Source organism: Homo sapiens, chromosome 14 (genome assembly GCF_000001405.40).
Source record: "Homo sapiens chromosome 14, GRCh38.p14 Primary Assembly".
Lineage (NCBI taxonomy): Eukaryota > Metazoa > Chordata > Mammalia > Primates > Hominidae > Homo > Homo sapiens.
In genome coordinates, this window is record NC_000014.9 from 77,708,047 (window position 1) to 77,722,456 (window position 14,410).

Below are 14,410 nucleotides of genomic sequence, written 5' to 3' on the forward strand. Positions count from 1 at the left end.
GTTCCGGATCCGGAAATTTTTTCCGGGGCCGCGACCTCGGCTCGAGAAGGTGCTTTAGTCTGAAGATGGCGGCCTCAGCAGCGAGAGGTGCTGCGGCGCTGCGTAGAAGTATCAATCAGCCGGTTGCTTTTGTGAGAAGAATTCCTTGGACTGCGGCGTCGAGTGAGTGATGGAGATGTGGGAGTAGTGGAATTTTTAGGTCCAAGTGATCCTCAAAGCTTCTGCTTTTTGCAGGGTACTTAAGTCAGCGTGGTGGCTGAATTAGGAGACTGCTCCTGAGCATGCAAGTGAGCAGAAAGAAATTTTGTTTGCAGTTAACCGTTTAGGGATGTCCCTTGAGCTTTTGGGGTCACGAATGCACCGGCTCTTGCCTTTAGGAGTGATTTGGTGTAAAGATTTATTACTTGGTAACCAAGATTTACAATTTAGAAGGGATAATTTTGACTGTAGTGTGGAGGATGGATTCAAGGTGGCAAGATTGTAGGCGTGCAGAGGAGCTAAAAGGCAATTTCATTAATTTACTTAAAACGTGAGGACCTGAATTAGGGCGATGGTAGAAGGATGGTGGTCAGATGCATTAATGTTTTAAAAGCAAATTAGATGCCGTTTCGTGATGGCTTAAGTGGGAGAAGTGTACGGAATAAAGGAAAGGGAGAAATGATTTCTGGGTTTTTAGCATTGGTGAATTGTTTGTTTAGAAGTTAGGAGCAGGCCAAGAGAAGATGAGTAAAGTTTGAATGTGTTGACTTTGAGAAACTTGTGAGGTTTCCGTCAGGCAATTGGACAAAGGTTGTATATCATTGTGGCTGAGAAGTGGACTCCGAAGCTAGACCGTTGGGGTTAGAATTCCAACTTGGCCATTTAATCGTTGTTATCACTTGAATAACTGAAGTTAGTATGGGAAAAGGGCTCACAACTGGGCCTCAGTTTACTCATCGATAAAATGGAGTCAATAATACCCAACTCATAGGATTGTTGAGAGGATTGAGTTTATATGCAAACTTCTTAGACTTGTGTTAGATACAGTGTAAGTACTCAGCAAATGATAGTTATTTTCACGGTAACTAAAATTGAAACTTACGGGAGAGGCCTAGTCTACAGATAAAGGTTGGAATAATTAGTTCTGAAATCTTTCACCACCTTCAATTTTTGTCAGCTGCAGTTTTGAGATGAGGTTTTTATATTTGCTTACCAACATGTAAACATTCGTGGTCACTCTTTTTGTAGATATTCATGTTTCAGGTCAACCCCTGGAAACAAAATGGAGCAAGATTTAGTTTCTTCTAAGTTTTTAGTGGCTCAGATGTGAGTAGTAGAATGGGAAATAGGTTGGTTTGTGCCCCGTGTTTTAAACATGTGGTTGGTGAAGACCAAGCCCAGTAAAGTCTCCCGTAGTCCCTGTGAAACTTTATGGAAAGGCTGAGGAGTTTCATTAGCATCTTGCGGATGCAAGTTTCCAGACAATAAAGGGCTAGTTTAAAACCCTTAAAAAGAGTCAGCATTATGTACAGCTTCGAAACAGTTTCTCTTTGTTGTTCCATTGATTCAGCAAATATTTATTTGAGTATCTATTCTGTGGTAGGCATTGTTCTTGGTGCTTGCAGCTGTTTTTCCTTCACCATTTTAGGCAATTTAGGAAGAGGGTTACCTTCCAGAGCTGGTTTGTTTTGAAATCAGTGTCTTCTAGGACTTTAATTATCTGGTATAAAACATATGTTTAACATTATTTTGTTCTCCAGTATCATATTCTGTGAGACCTTGATCTTGCCAGTTGGTTTGACTTAACCATTAGAGCCCTTCAAAATTTAGTCTCTGTGGATTGTTGGAAGGATTAGTGGACTTTTACTTATTCATTTAGCCAATATTGAGGCCCTGCTGTTTATTGGTCACTGTAAACATAGTGGTTTATATGCTGAGGGAGCTTACAATTAGTGGTGGGGATGAAGAGACTTAGAACAAATATAGGCAATTGTTGAACCAGTGAGGTTTTGGTGAACTAGGAGAACTAAATAGATATTATAAAAAGTAAATCAGTGAAGTACAAGCACTGTAGTTCAGAAGAGAAACAGATCGTGTAGTTTTTAGTCTTTAAGATTATATACTCTAAATCTTTGAAGTCTCACAGGGCTGGTACATTGTCTTGTACTGTGATAGGAGCCCAATAAAGTAATACTCAGTGGATGTACTTGGTTTGGGTCTTGAAGGATAGTTATAGTGTTACAAGTTAGCCAGGGGGAGATAGGATTACCAACATATGGAGGGGAGAGAACAACATATGCAAAGAGGGTAACCCGCAGGACAGATAAAGATAATTCAATTAGTTGTACTAGAGAGTAACTAGGGGCTAGCAGTGGGAAATAAGGCAGGAAGGGTAGGTGAGGGCAACTCAACACATTTTACTAAATTGTGAAAGACCAGTAAGTTGGGATTTTATTTGGAAATCTTCAGTATACCGGGAAACACACTGGATTGTAATTTGTCTTTTTCTTCATTGTGATCTGCTCACAGGGATCATAGTCCACATAGCACAGTAACTGGTATGAAAACACTCGATATTTGCTGAGGATGGAGACTGCAGCCAACTCAACAACTTCTCTGTCCATCTCACCACCAAGTCTGGTACATTATGGCTTTATAGTCAGTACCATAGCTGCTTCCTAAATCTTAAGCCTTTAAGGAAATGCAAAGTAGTTCCTGTCCACAAGAAATCTGGTGACCCTGTCTTTCTACAGTCTAAGATAGAGAATCCAAAATATAGTAACTACTTTTAATGTTTTCTTCTGCCACACAGGTCAGCTGAAAGAACACTTTGCACAGTTCGGCCATGTCAGAAGGTGCATTTTACCTTTTGTAAGTATTAAGGAAAAGTAGGTGGGAGGTGGGGATGGCTAATGGGTACAAAAAAAATAGAATGAATAAGACCTATTTGATAGTACAACAGGGTGACTATGGTCAATAATAATTGTACATTTTAAAATAACTCAGAGTGTAATTGGATTATTTGTAACTCAAAGGATAAATGCCTGAGGGGATGGATACCCCATAAGTCAAAGGATAAATGCTTGAGGGGATAGATACCCCATGCTCCATGATGTGCTTAATTTACATTGCATGCCTATATCAAAACATCTCATGTACTCCATAATAAATATACATATTTATATATATAAATATATAAATATATACACCTAATAATATATAAATATATATAAATATATACCCAAATAAATATATACACCTACTATACACTCACAAAAATTGTTGAAAAAAAAGCTTAAAGTGTTTTAAAAAATTCTTATCTTGCAACAGGGTCTCGCTCTGTCCCCCTGCAGGGGTGCAGTGGCCTGATCTCACTGCAGCCTCTGCCTCCCAGGCTTAAGTGATCTTCCTGCCTTGGCCTCCTGAGTAGCTGGGACTATAGACATGTGCCACCATGCCCAGCTAACTTTTTTGGTATTTTTTAGTGGAGACAGGGTTTCGCCATACTGTCCAGACTGGAAAATTTTTTTAATTTTCATTTTCTTTAAGAGACAGGGTCTTGTTCTGTCACCCCAGGTGGAGTGCAGTGATGCAGTCATGGCTCACTGCAACCTCTGCCTCCCAGGCTTAGGTGATCCTCCCACCTCAGCCTCCTGAGTAGCTGGGACTACAGGCATGCACCACCACACCTGGGTAATTTTTGTATTTTTTGTAGAGATGGGGTTTCGCCATGTTGCTTATGCTGGTCTCGTCGAACTCCTGGGCTCAAGCTATCCGCACACCTCGGCCTCCCAAAATGTTGAGATTACAGGTGTGAGCCACTGTGCTGGCTTATTTTTGTGGAGATGGGGGTCTTGCCATGTTGCCCAGGCTGATCTTGAACTCCTGGCTTCAAGCAATCCTCCTGCATTGGCCTCCCAAAGTGCTGGGATTACAGGCGTGAGCCACTGTGCCCGGCCTACAGTCTTTATTGATTACATTTTGAGTGATACTTGATTAAAAAGTGAAAAAGCTTTATCATAGGTATTTGTGTTAGTTTTTTTATTGTTGTATAACAAAATACCACAAGCGTAATGGCTCAAAAACAACACATCTCTCACAGCTGAGCACAGTTTAGCTGGGTCCTCTCCTTAGGATCTCACATAGCTATATATTCCAGGTGTCAGCTGGGGCTGTGGTGTGTCTCATCAAAGGGTCAACTGGGGAAAAAGACTGACTTGCAAGCTCCCTCATGTGGTTGGCAAAATTCCTTTTTTTTTTTTTTTGAGATGGAGTCTTTCTCCCTTGCCTAAGCTGGAGTTGCAGTGGTGCAGTCTCAGCTTACTGCAACCTCTGCCTCCTGGGTTCAAGCCATTCTCCTGCCTCAGCCTCCTGAGTAGCTGGGACTACAGGCATGCGCCACCACGACCGGCTAATTTTTTTTTTTTTTTTTTTTTTGAGACGGAGTCTCACTCTGTGGCCTAGGCTGGAGTGCAGTGGCGCGATCTCGGCTCACCACAAGCTCTGCCTCCTGGGTTCACGCCATTCTCCTGCCTCAGCCTCCTGAGTAGCTGGGACTACAGGCGCCCGCCACTACGCCCGGCTAATTTTTTGTATTTTTAGTAGAGATGGAGTTTCGCTATGTTGGCCAGGCTGGTCTCGAACTCCTGACCTCAAGTGACCCGCCCGCCTGGGCTTCCCAAAATGCTGGGATTACAGGTGTGAGCCTTCATGCCCGGCCATAATTCATCTTTAACTGTAGGACTGAGGTCTGTTTTCTTGTTGACCTTTGGCTCTGAGTTGGGAGCTGCTCTCACCTAGGAACTCCCTGCAGTTCCTTGTTACCTAGTTTATCTGTAGGCTGTCTTACAATATGGCAGCTTGCTTCTTTAAAGCCAGCAAGGGCTTCTCCAGTCTGCTTAAGATGGCATCTTATACAGAACATAATCACAGGAGTGACATCCCATTACTTTCGCTGTATTCTTTTGGTTAGAAGCAAGTCAGGTTTCTCCTCCACCCAAGGAGGGGAGGAGATTATATAGGGTGTAACATGGGGAATGCATGGAGATCATGGGGCCCATCTTAGAATTCTGCCTACTACAGTATTCTAATAAGGACTTGAGATTTCTAATAATTGGCAGAGGATATTTTAAGTTTTATCTTCATTGAGTACCATTTTCTTTTTTAGATTTATAACTAATAAAACAATATTTTTATATTAATTACATTTCCTTTGCTTTCTTGTGAGGGTTTAGAAATCAGCCTATAAATTTATCCTGGGCTGTATTTTTCTGTGGGCTTTTTTAGGGTGTGATGTGAGTACATAGAGTTCACACACACTTCACTGAAACCCTTTTTTCCTTGCAGCACTGTAAGGGCTGTGGTAAAATAACAACATAAAGGAACTTAAATTCTTAATTCTTGGTTTAATGTTACTTGACTCCCAAAGACTAACAGATTAGTTATATATAGTGCCGGTGAAGGTGTAGGGAATCTGGCACTCAAGTTGTTGAGAAGTTCAACTGGTACCTTCAGTTCTGTTGTGTAGTTGGCAAAATACCAAAGTTAAGAATTTATATTTGCTTTGATCTAGCGGTTACTTTTCTAAGAATTTATCCTACAGAAATGTGTGGTCAAGAATATTCCAAAGCAGCATTATTTAATGTCAAGTAAGAAGAAGAAACTTAAATGTTCATCACTGGGATTGATTAGATATTAAGTCACTGATGCAATGGAATTTTATATAGTTGAATAGAAAAGTTGGGCACATGTATTATGGACATGAAATATTTTCTGTAAGTTTGAAAACTTCAATTTTTTCAAGAGCATTTAAATAAAAAGTTCCTTGCAAAAAAATGAATAGATTTTTATTGGTCCATAAATAAAATAGGACCTGCAAAGAATAGATCTTAGATTTAAATAAAAGGCGGCTTTGATGTTGGTAAAACAAAATAAAATATGACAAAAAAAATATTTTTTTGTTCCATTCATTGTACTCTAGTTGGAAATCCTGGTTCCTTTTTTGAGACAGGTTCTCTCTCTCACTCAGGCTGGAGTGCAGTGGCACAATCAAGTTCACTGCAGGCTTGAACTCCTGGGTTCAAGGGATCCTTCTGCCTCTGCCTCCTGAGTAGCTGGGATTAGTCGTGTGCCACCACACCTGACTAATTTTTTGTACTCTTTGTAGAAATGGGGCTTCACCATATTGCCCAGGCTGGTCTCGAGCTCCCGCACTCAAGCAGTCTACTCACCTCAGCTCCCAAAGTGCTGTGATTACAGGCATGAGCCACCACACCTGGACTGAGTTATTTTTTTTGAGACAGCCTTGCTCTGTCGCCCAGGCTGGAGTGCAGAGGCGTGATCTCAGCTCACTGCAATCGCTGCCTCCTGGGTTCAAGTGATCCCCCTTCCTCAGTCACCCAGATAGCTGGGACTACAGGCATGGGCCACCACACCCAGCTAATTTTTGTATTTTTAGTAGAGATGGAGTTTCACTATGTTGGCCAGGCTGGTCCCAAACTCCTGACCTCAAGCCATCCATCCACCTCAGCCTCCCAAAGTGCTGGGATTGAGCCACTGCACCTGGCCTATGTTTTAATATAAACAAATTTCTTAATGCCTTTGACTGTGGAAGTGGTCACATGACAATAAAGGAATGCTTTAGAAATTGTTGTATCTACAATGAATGGATCATTGGGACATCACCAGAAACTTTCCGTCTTCTAGGTTAATCCTTATAAAGTTATCCTTGAAGTAGAGGAGCAATTGTAAGATTTTGTTTTTTTTGGCAAAGCACAGCATGACTTGAATGAGACTAATGAGGACCAGTTTGTCATCTACAGGGACTAGACATCTTAATATCTGTTTTCTGTCGAAGGGCTGGAGGGGCAGGGTACATCCAAGCACTCTAGAATCTGTTTTCCGTATGCGATGTATAGGTTGAAACTTTTGCACAAGGGAAAATAGCAAAATTGTTTAAATTAACCAGAAGTCTGTAACTAGGTTGAGTAAGGGCTAAATATTATCTTTTCTTGTTTTTCATTAGGAACACGTGATGATAGTCGTGGTGGTGGTGAGGGTGACTGGATTCAGAAATGAGTGCAACAAGGCTTTGAGGCTTAATTTTCTAGTTTCTAGAAACGAAGCTTAGAACAAGAGTACTGATCAAAATTTCCCTTAGCTATTACTGTTAGTATGGTTTGCATCTAGAATGACACAGAAAGCTCATGACCCGTATCTTCTCTAATGGCAGCAAGGAAAACAGGAAGCTTAACAACACAGGGATTTAGCCTTGGGTAATCAGGAAGGGTGTAAAGCAAGGTTACTGACACTTATAAATGTCTGTGATCCGATTTTTGGCTGGGCATGGTGGCTTATGCCTGTAATTTCACTACTTTGGGAGGCCCAGATGGGAAGATTGCTTGAGCCCAGGAGTTTGAGACCGGCCTGGGTAAGATGGGAAGACCCCATCTCTGCAAAAAATATAAAAAATGAGGCAGACATGGTGGTATGTACCTGTGATCCCAGCTACTGAAGAGGCTGAGGTGGGAGGATTGCTTGAACCCAGGAAGTTGAGGCTGCAGTGAGTTGCGTTCATACCACTGCACCCCAGCCTGGGTGACAGAGCAAGACCCTGCCTAAAAATAAAATAAAATTAAATTAAAAAGTCCGATTTTTGGCAGATGAAAAAGTTGGTAGTTTGATTTGGAACTCATGGAAACTTTCTGAAGTTCATGATTAATCTTTTCCTATATTTTGAATTTTTAGGACAAGGAGACTGGCTTTCACAGAGGTTTGGGTTGGGTTCAGTTTTCTTCAGAAGAAGGACTTCGGAATGCACTACAACAGGAAAATCATATTATAGATGGAGTAAAGGTAAATTTATTTCTATGCCAGATACATACATGATATACATGTAGGTACTATTTAATTATGTATCAATTAAATAGATCATAAATGTGGAATGATGGGGACTTGGAGAGATTTGTAACTGAAGCTGCCTTAATGCTTGTTAAGAATGGTGGGGTGGAGGCTGGGCACGGTGGCTCACGCCTGTAATCCCAGCACTTTGGGAGGCCGAGGCGGGCGGATCACAAGGTCAGGAGATCGAGACCATCCTGGCTAACACGGTGAAACCCCGTCTCTACTAAAAATACAAAAAATTAGCCTGGCAAGGTGGCGGGCGCCTGTAGTCCCAGCTACTCGGGAGGCTGAGGCAGGAGAATGGCGTGAACCCCAGGGGGTGGAGCCTGCAGTGAGCCGAGATTGCGCCACTGCACTCCAGCCTGGGCGATAGCGAGACTCCATCTCAAACAAACAAACAAACAAAACAACAACAAAAAAAGAATGGTGCGGTGGTAGGCCAGGCGCAGTGGTTCATGCCTATAATCCCAGCACTTTGGGAGGCCGAGGCGGGGGGGATCACCAGAGGTCAGGAGTTTGAGACCAGCCTGACCAACATGGAGAAACCCCATCTCTACTAAAAATACAAAAAAAATTAGATGGGCGTGGTGGCACATGCCTGTAGTCCCAGCTACTCAGGAGACTGAGGCAGGAGAACCCAAGAGACAGAGGTTGCAGTGAACTAAAATCGCGCCATTGCACTCCAGCCTGGGCAACAAGAGCAAAACTCCATCTCAAAAAAAAAAAAAAAAAAAAAATGGGGGGTGGTAGAGTGCCCAGTTTTAAAAGGTCCAGGAAAGTACAAGATGACCCTTTAATGGGTAGCAAGATATGTAACACAGTGGACATAACAGTCTACTTTTCTTTTTTCTTTTTGAGAGTCTTGCTCTTGTTGCCCAGGCTAGAGTGCAATGGTGCAATCTTGGATCACTGCAACCTCCGCCTCCTGGGTTCAAGCGATTCTCCTGCCTCAACCTCCCGAGTAGCTGGGATTACAGGCATGCGCCACCACGCACTGCTAATTTTTTTTGTATTTTTAGTAGAGATTGGGTTTCATCATGTTGGTCAGGCTGGTCTCAAACTCCTGACCTCAGGCAATCCGCCCACCTCGGCCTCCCAAAGTGCTGGGATTACAGGCGTGAGCCACAGCGCCTGGCCAGCAGTCTGCTTTTCAGGTCAGGCAAGCTGGGGCTGAAATCTTGGCTTACCCACCATGTGATCCTGGGCCAAACTGATTTACTATTTTATTTTAAATTTTAGTTTTAATGAGACAGGGCCTTGCTATGTTGCAGGGTGGTGTTGAACTCCTGGCCTCAAGCAATCCTCTTGCCTCAGCTTGCCAAAATGCTGGCATTACAGGCCTGAGCCACTGCCCCTGGTCTGATTTACAATTTTTAATTGAGGGTTAGGGAGTCATAATACCAACAAAGATGGTAAAAGGAATTTGAGGAGAAAACGAAAGAACAAGGGACAAATAAAAACTGCCTGGGTTATTCATTATTCATACTGACTCCCTAATAAAGTGATTTTCAGTTTGAATGTTTTTGCAGACATTGCCTTTCCTCCCTTACAGTGCTTATTTTTTTAAGGTCCAGGTTCACACTAGAAGGCCAAAACTTCCGCAAACATCTGATGATGAAAAGAAAGATTTTTGAGACTGCAGCCTATTAATAAAGTTAACATAACTGAGAATTTTGTCTAAATGTTTTTATTTGAAACAAATAGTTGCACCAAGCAAGAGGTTACTTTGCCCACTCCAAATTAAAACAGAGCACAATAGGGGCAAAATTTATTTGGCAGGACAGTTCCAGTATGTGAACATCTTCCTCCTCACTGTGGTTGGGGTAACTTTACTCATATGCAGCTGTTCTTACACAAAACATTAACCCCAAACTACTAGTGTCACATAAAAGTAAGTGGTCTTGACTTTGTATGTGGGGCAGCATGTTCTATAAATGCTGAAAGGTGGGAGAAGCACAAACACAACCCACTCTTTAAAAAAAACTAAATAATTCAAAGTAGAATTTTCTATCCCCCCCATTTCTCCAGTAATAAAAAGTAGTGCTGGGATCTGGCACCCAGATTTGGTTTTTATCCTGACCATTTACAAAGTGTTCCCCCATATGACTTGCATCATTAGGGTTATGGGTAAGAGTTCATTCACTTTGGAGAGACCTGTGCCTATTCCTTCCTCCTCTTCTTGCCTTCATGCTCGTGTTCCTTGGGGCGGCTGCTATCTGAGGGTCTTTTAGAGCCACCATGCTGTTTGGCTTCTTCCAAAAACTTGTCCAAACCAAAAGGATCTTCCTCAAACTGCACTGGTCCTTCTCGGCCTCTCTGTCTACGGTCTGAACCAGAAAACTCCTTGTCGGGAACAAATCTAAGGAAAAGGAGAAAAAACTATGAACTACTTTGCTTTCACCAGTGTAAACACTGAAATTGAGTTGTATGGCTTGGCACCTGTTGGTCTTTATTCTGGCTTCTAGGTCATCACCATACATGTCCTTGTCCAGATTTTTACTGGGCCTATAAATACTCTGGGCCATATCTTTACCACCTCTCCAGGCTTGATCATAAACATTATAAATTTCATCTTCTCCACCTGCAAATCCACTGTCCATACCCTGTGGAAAAATGGATGACATTAAATAAAAGTGTAAACATTGTTTATCAAAAGCTGAATCATAACATGTTTACAGTAAACCCTTGCTAATGTACAGCTCACATTTTCAACAATCTGAACTGCAAATTAAAAAGTCTTCATTAAAAAACTGGTAGCACATGAACTTCATAACAACTTTGGATTCTTTTTTTTTTTTTTTTCAGACAGAGTCTCACTCTGTCACCCAGGCTGGAGTGCAGTGGTGTGATCTTGGCTCACTGCAGCCACCGCCTCCCAGTTCCAGTGATCCTCCTGCCTCCGCCTCCCAGGTAGCTGGGATTACAGGCATGTGCCACCACACCCAGCTAATTTTTGTATTTTTAGTAGAGACAGAGTTTCACCATGTTGGCCAGGCTGGTCCTGAACCCCTGACCTCAGGTGATCGCCTGCCTTGGTCTCACAAAGTGCTACATAGCTCACTGGAGCTGTGACCTCCCTGTGCTCAGGTGTTCCTCCCACCTCAGCCTCCCAAGTAGCTGGGAGTACAGGTGTGTGCCACCATGTCCAGCTAATTTTTTGTAGACAGGGTTTTGCCATATTGCCCAGGCCGGTCTTAAACTGGGTTCAAGCAATCTGCCTGCCTAGGTCTCACAAAGTGTTAGGATTACAGGCGTGAGCCACAGTGCCCAGCCAGAAATATTTTCATCACAATTTTTAAATGTTTTAAGCTTAAGCTTCTAACAGGTGATTATCTTGAAAATATTTACTTACGTGAAATTTCACCCCTAGATCCCTTTGCTCAGCTGGTAAGTTGCCATTGTATAGTGGTTAAGAAAGCTTTGAAATTGGCTGGGCACAGTGGCTCACGCCTGTAATCCCAGCACTTTGGGAGGCCAAGGCAGGAGGATCACGAGGTCAGGAGTTCAAGACCCGCTTGACCCAACGTGATGAAACCCTGTCTCTACTAAGGATACAAAAATTAGCCTGGCATGGTGGCACATGCCCTGTGATAATCCCAGCTACTCAGGAGGCTGAGGCAGGAGAATCCCTTGAACCTGGGAGGTGGAGGTTGCAGTGAGCCGAGATGGCACCACTGCACTCCAGCCTGGGCGACAGAGTGGGACTCCATATCAGAAAACAAAAACAAACAAAAAAAACTTTGAAATCAAGACACCCAGTTTGAATCTTAATTCCATCAGTCACAAGCTAAACCTGTGTTTCAATTTCCTCATCTATAACATAAGAGATAATAGTATTATTTCATAGGATTTTTGTAAGAATTGAGATAATAACAAGACTTAGAACAATGCCAAGAATATAAAATGCATCTAATAAATTATCACTTAGAAGAGCTTACTTAAAACCTCCAAGTCATAATTAAGTTTCCCACTCTACTTTCCAGTAGAACTTACACTTCTGTATTCTTGTGTGTGCGCATGCGCCCGCGTGTGTTTTCCCAGGCTTAAAGTGTCCTAGTTAGCTAATGGCAATTGGTACTAGAAATCAGATTTCCTGACAGCCAGCCTAGTACTTTAATCCCGTTTTACAGCTTCATTTTTAAAAGAATCCCAAATTGATATATTTCTATAGCATTAAAAGAAAAATCCAAAAATCAACAACAAAAAAACCCAAGAGGCACTTTTGTAGGACACTGACTCTTTTATTTTTTTGAGATAGAGTCTCAGTCACCCAGGCTAGAGTGCAGTGGCACAATCTTGGCTCACCAAGCAATTCTCGTGCCTCAGCCTCCCAAGTAGTGGGGATTACAGGCGTGCACCACCACACCTGGCTAGTTTTCGTATTTTTAGTAGAGATGGGGTTTCACCATGTTGGCCAGGCTGGTTGTGAACTCCTGACCTCAGGTGATCTGCCCGCTTCGGCCTCCAAATGTGTTGGGATTACAGGCAAAAGCCACCATGCCTGGCCTCCCTGGTTCTATTTTAGAAACAAAAGGTTGACATACCACAACACCAAGTTTTTAATCACCTAATTTCTTTCTTCTCCTAGTGTCTCAAATCTCAGCCCACTATAAGAAGTTAAAATCAGAACTGTTTCATCTTGTCTCAAGTTTCAACATACAACTTCCAATTTTTTTGTCATCATGCTGGCATTTACATCCAAATGTAAAGTATGTTAATTTTCGTTTCCCTGAGGATAGGTATTCACATCAACACACACAATATGCTGTTCCTAAACTTGTACCTTGGATTGGTTGAAGAGCCTTTGGTCATACTGAACTTCATTGGAAGTCCGAGGATTAGGAACACCGAGAGCAATAACTTCACTGATATCCCGATTTTCATTTCTCTGAAGTTTCGACCTATTTTGAAATACGACATCACTAACTGAAAACTCTTTATAGACAAGCTGAATATGTTCAATAGAAATACAACCAATCTCAGAAACAAAGGATGTGAATATGTCACATTCACATCTTGTGAACATATATTCCTTGATGATACATAATCAAGCTGGCAGCCCTTATAAAGCATTTCAGATTAGAGGGAGAGTTTTACAATTAGGACGTCCTGTTAGCTCAAAAGAACATCTAACAGATTCGTTGACATGGAATTCTTTAATATAAGCAATCACCTTACAACCATGCTGAGATATAAAATTGCTATGGTCTATATTTACTATCATTATATGATGGTTTGGGGGTTGGGGAAGTGGATACAATTTAGATGTAGCACACGAAACATTTTAAATAAGCTAGAAACAGCTCTTTTATCTAACCACATTTAGTAATTTTATCCCACTAGAATTTTGAGGAAAACATGTCAATGACTGAATTAGTATGATTTTTGACATTCAGATTAATTTGGTTTCCTGGCTGTTGCATTATATATGCAACCTACATCCCAATGAAACCATGGTAACTGTCATTACTTGTTTTACTAAAAACTCAGGTCACAAAATGATTTCTATAGGCTGTTTGATTTTCATCCAGTTACAATTTCACAGCTTTTCTATGTTGTCAATTCTGATAGCCACTTTACTCGTTTTGAGGGCCCAATTTATCCACAGAGCCATTGTAACTTTTACAACTTAGGAATTACTAACCAAGACTGTCATTAATTAAACACTTTCACACTTTGCTCCTCCTTCTACATGTACTTTACCCTCAACTCTCAAGAGTAAGAGTCTTTGCTTCTCCATGACATCATTTATCCAGGGAGATGAAATATGCCAATTAATACCAGCAGGAATCTTTTTCATGCTTATTTATTTTTATTTTTTTATTTTTTATTTTTTATGACACGGAGTCTCACTCTGTCGCCCAGGCTGGAATGCAGTGGCACGATCTTGGCTCCCTGAAACCTCCGCCTCCAGGGTTCAAGTGATTCTCCCACTTCGGCCTCTCGAGTAGCTGGGACTACCGGCATGTGCCACCACACCCAGCTAATTTTTGCATTTTTAGTAGAGATGGGGTTTCACCATGTTGGCCAGGCTGGTCTTGAACTCCTGACCTCAAGTGATTCGCGTGCTTTGGCCTGCCAAAGTGCTGGGATTACAGGTGTCAGCCACTGTGCCCGGCCTCTTTTTTGTGTTTAAAATATGACTTGAAAAATGTATTAGGCTCATGGGATGATCAGAGCACAGAAAACTGTTCATTTGGGAAGAAAATATTCTATATTTGCATTTAACCCTCACTCAGAATTCCACCTTAGTATTGCAGCGTTCCCTCTACTTTTCAGAACTTTTAGTCCTCAGCCTTTGGTGAGCCATAAACTTCCCCAATTCCTACTTTACTCTATGCCCTCATATATATATTTAGTTTGTTCTATACGTTTATACTTACTAAGAGTGCTTTGCAAATTTTCTCAAATTATTTTATGGATAGCTCTGTCTTTCTGAACTGTAAGTTAAACTACTCCTAAAAATGAGCTGATTTTCTACTTCTTTCAAAACTGCTCTTCTCCTCAATTGTACTAGATGCAGTACTAT

General features: G+C 41.7%; 2 protein-coding genes across 7 annotated transcripts in view; one reads left to right on the forward strand and one right to left on the reverse strand.

Annotated features, from left to right (window-relative positions):
* Positions 25-9,552, forward strand: SLIRP (SRA stem-loop interacting RNA binding protein). 4 transcript variants are annotated; one of them, NR_052025.2, is made up of 5 exons: positions 57-162; positions 2,509-2,619; positions 2,792-2,850; positions 7,726-7,833; positions 9,450-9,552. NR_052025.2 is itself a non-coding variant. In NM_001267864.1 (4 exons), the coding sequence occupies exons 1-4, from the start codon at positions 66-68 to the stop codon at positions 9,446-9,448; spliced, it is 279 nt and encodes a 92-aa protein (NP_001254793.1). In that variant the 5' UTR covers positions 25-65; the 3' UTR covers positions 9,449-9,552. The 4 variants fall into 4 exon arrangements, 3 of the variants coding, with proteins under 3 accessions (NP_001254793.1, NP_001254792.1, NP_112487.1); NM_001267864.1 differs by lacking the exon at positions 2,509-2,619 and having other exon boundaries at positions 25-162; positions 9,434-9,552; NM_001267863.1 differs by lacking the exon at positions 2,509-2,619 and having other exon boundaries at positions 25-162; positions 9,456-9,552.
* SNW1 (SNW domain containing 1) overlaps positions 9,553-14,410 on the reverse strand; it is a 43,558-nt gene continuing 38,700 nt past the window's right edge. Inside the window, exons 12-14 of one of the 3 annotated variants that reach the window (NM_012245.3) lie at positions 12,665-12,782; positions 10,321-10,484; positions 9,553-10,240 (exon numbers count right to left, since the gene is read on the reverse strand). In NM_012245.3, the coding sequence (NP_036377.1) occupies positions 10,042-10,240; positions 10,321-10,484; positions 12,665-12,782 (481 nt within the window). In that variant the 3' untranslated portion in view covers positions 9,553-10,041. Of the gene's footprint in view, positions 10,485-12,664; positions 12,783-14,410 lie in introns of all 3 variants that reach the window. The other 2 variants (NM_001318844.2, XM_047431112.1) reach the window with 2 other exon arrangements.

Excerpts from the sequence above, each read along its gene's own strand:
- SLIRP (NM_031210.6), top strand. The coding sequence starts at position 66 with ATGGCGGCCTCAGCAGCGAGAGGTGCTGCGGCGCTGCGTAGAAGTATC. Across the intron at positions 163-2,791 it reads TCCTTGGACTGCGGCGTCGA|GTCAGCTGAAAGAACACTTT; the intron begins GTGAGTGATGGA and ends TCTGCCACACAG. Across the intron at positions 7,834-9,449 it reads ATATTATAGATGGAGTAAAG|GTCCAGGTTCACACTAGAAG; the intron begins GTAAATTTATTT and ends TATTTTTTTAAG.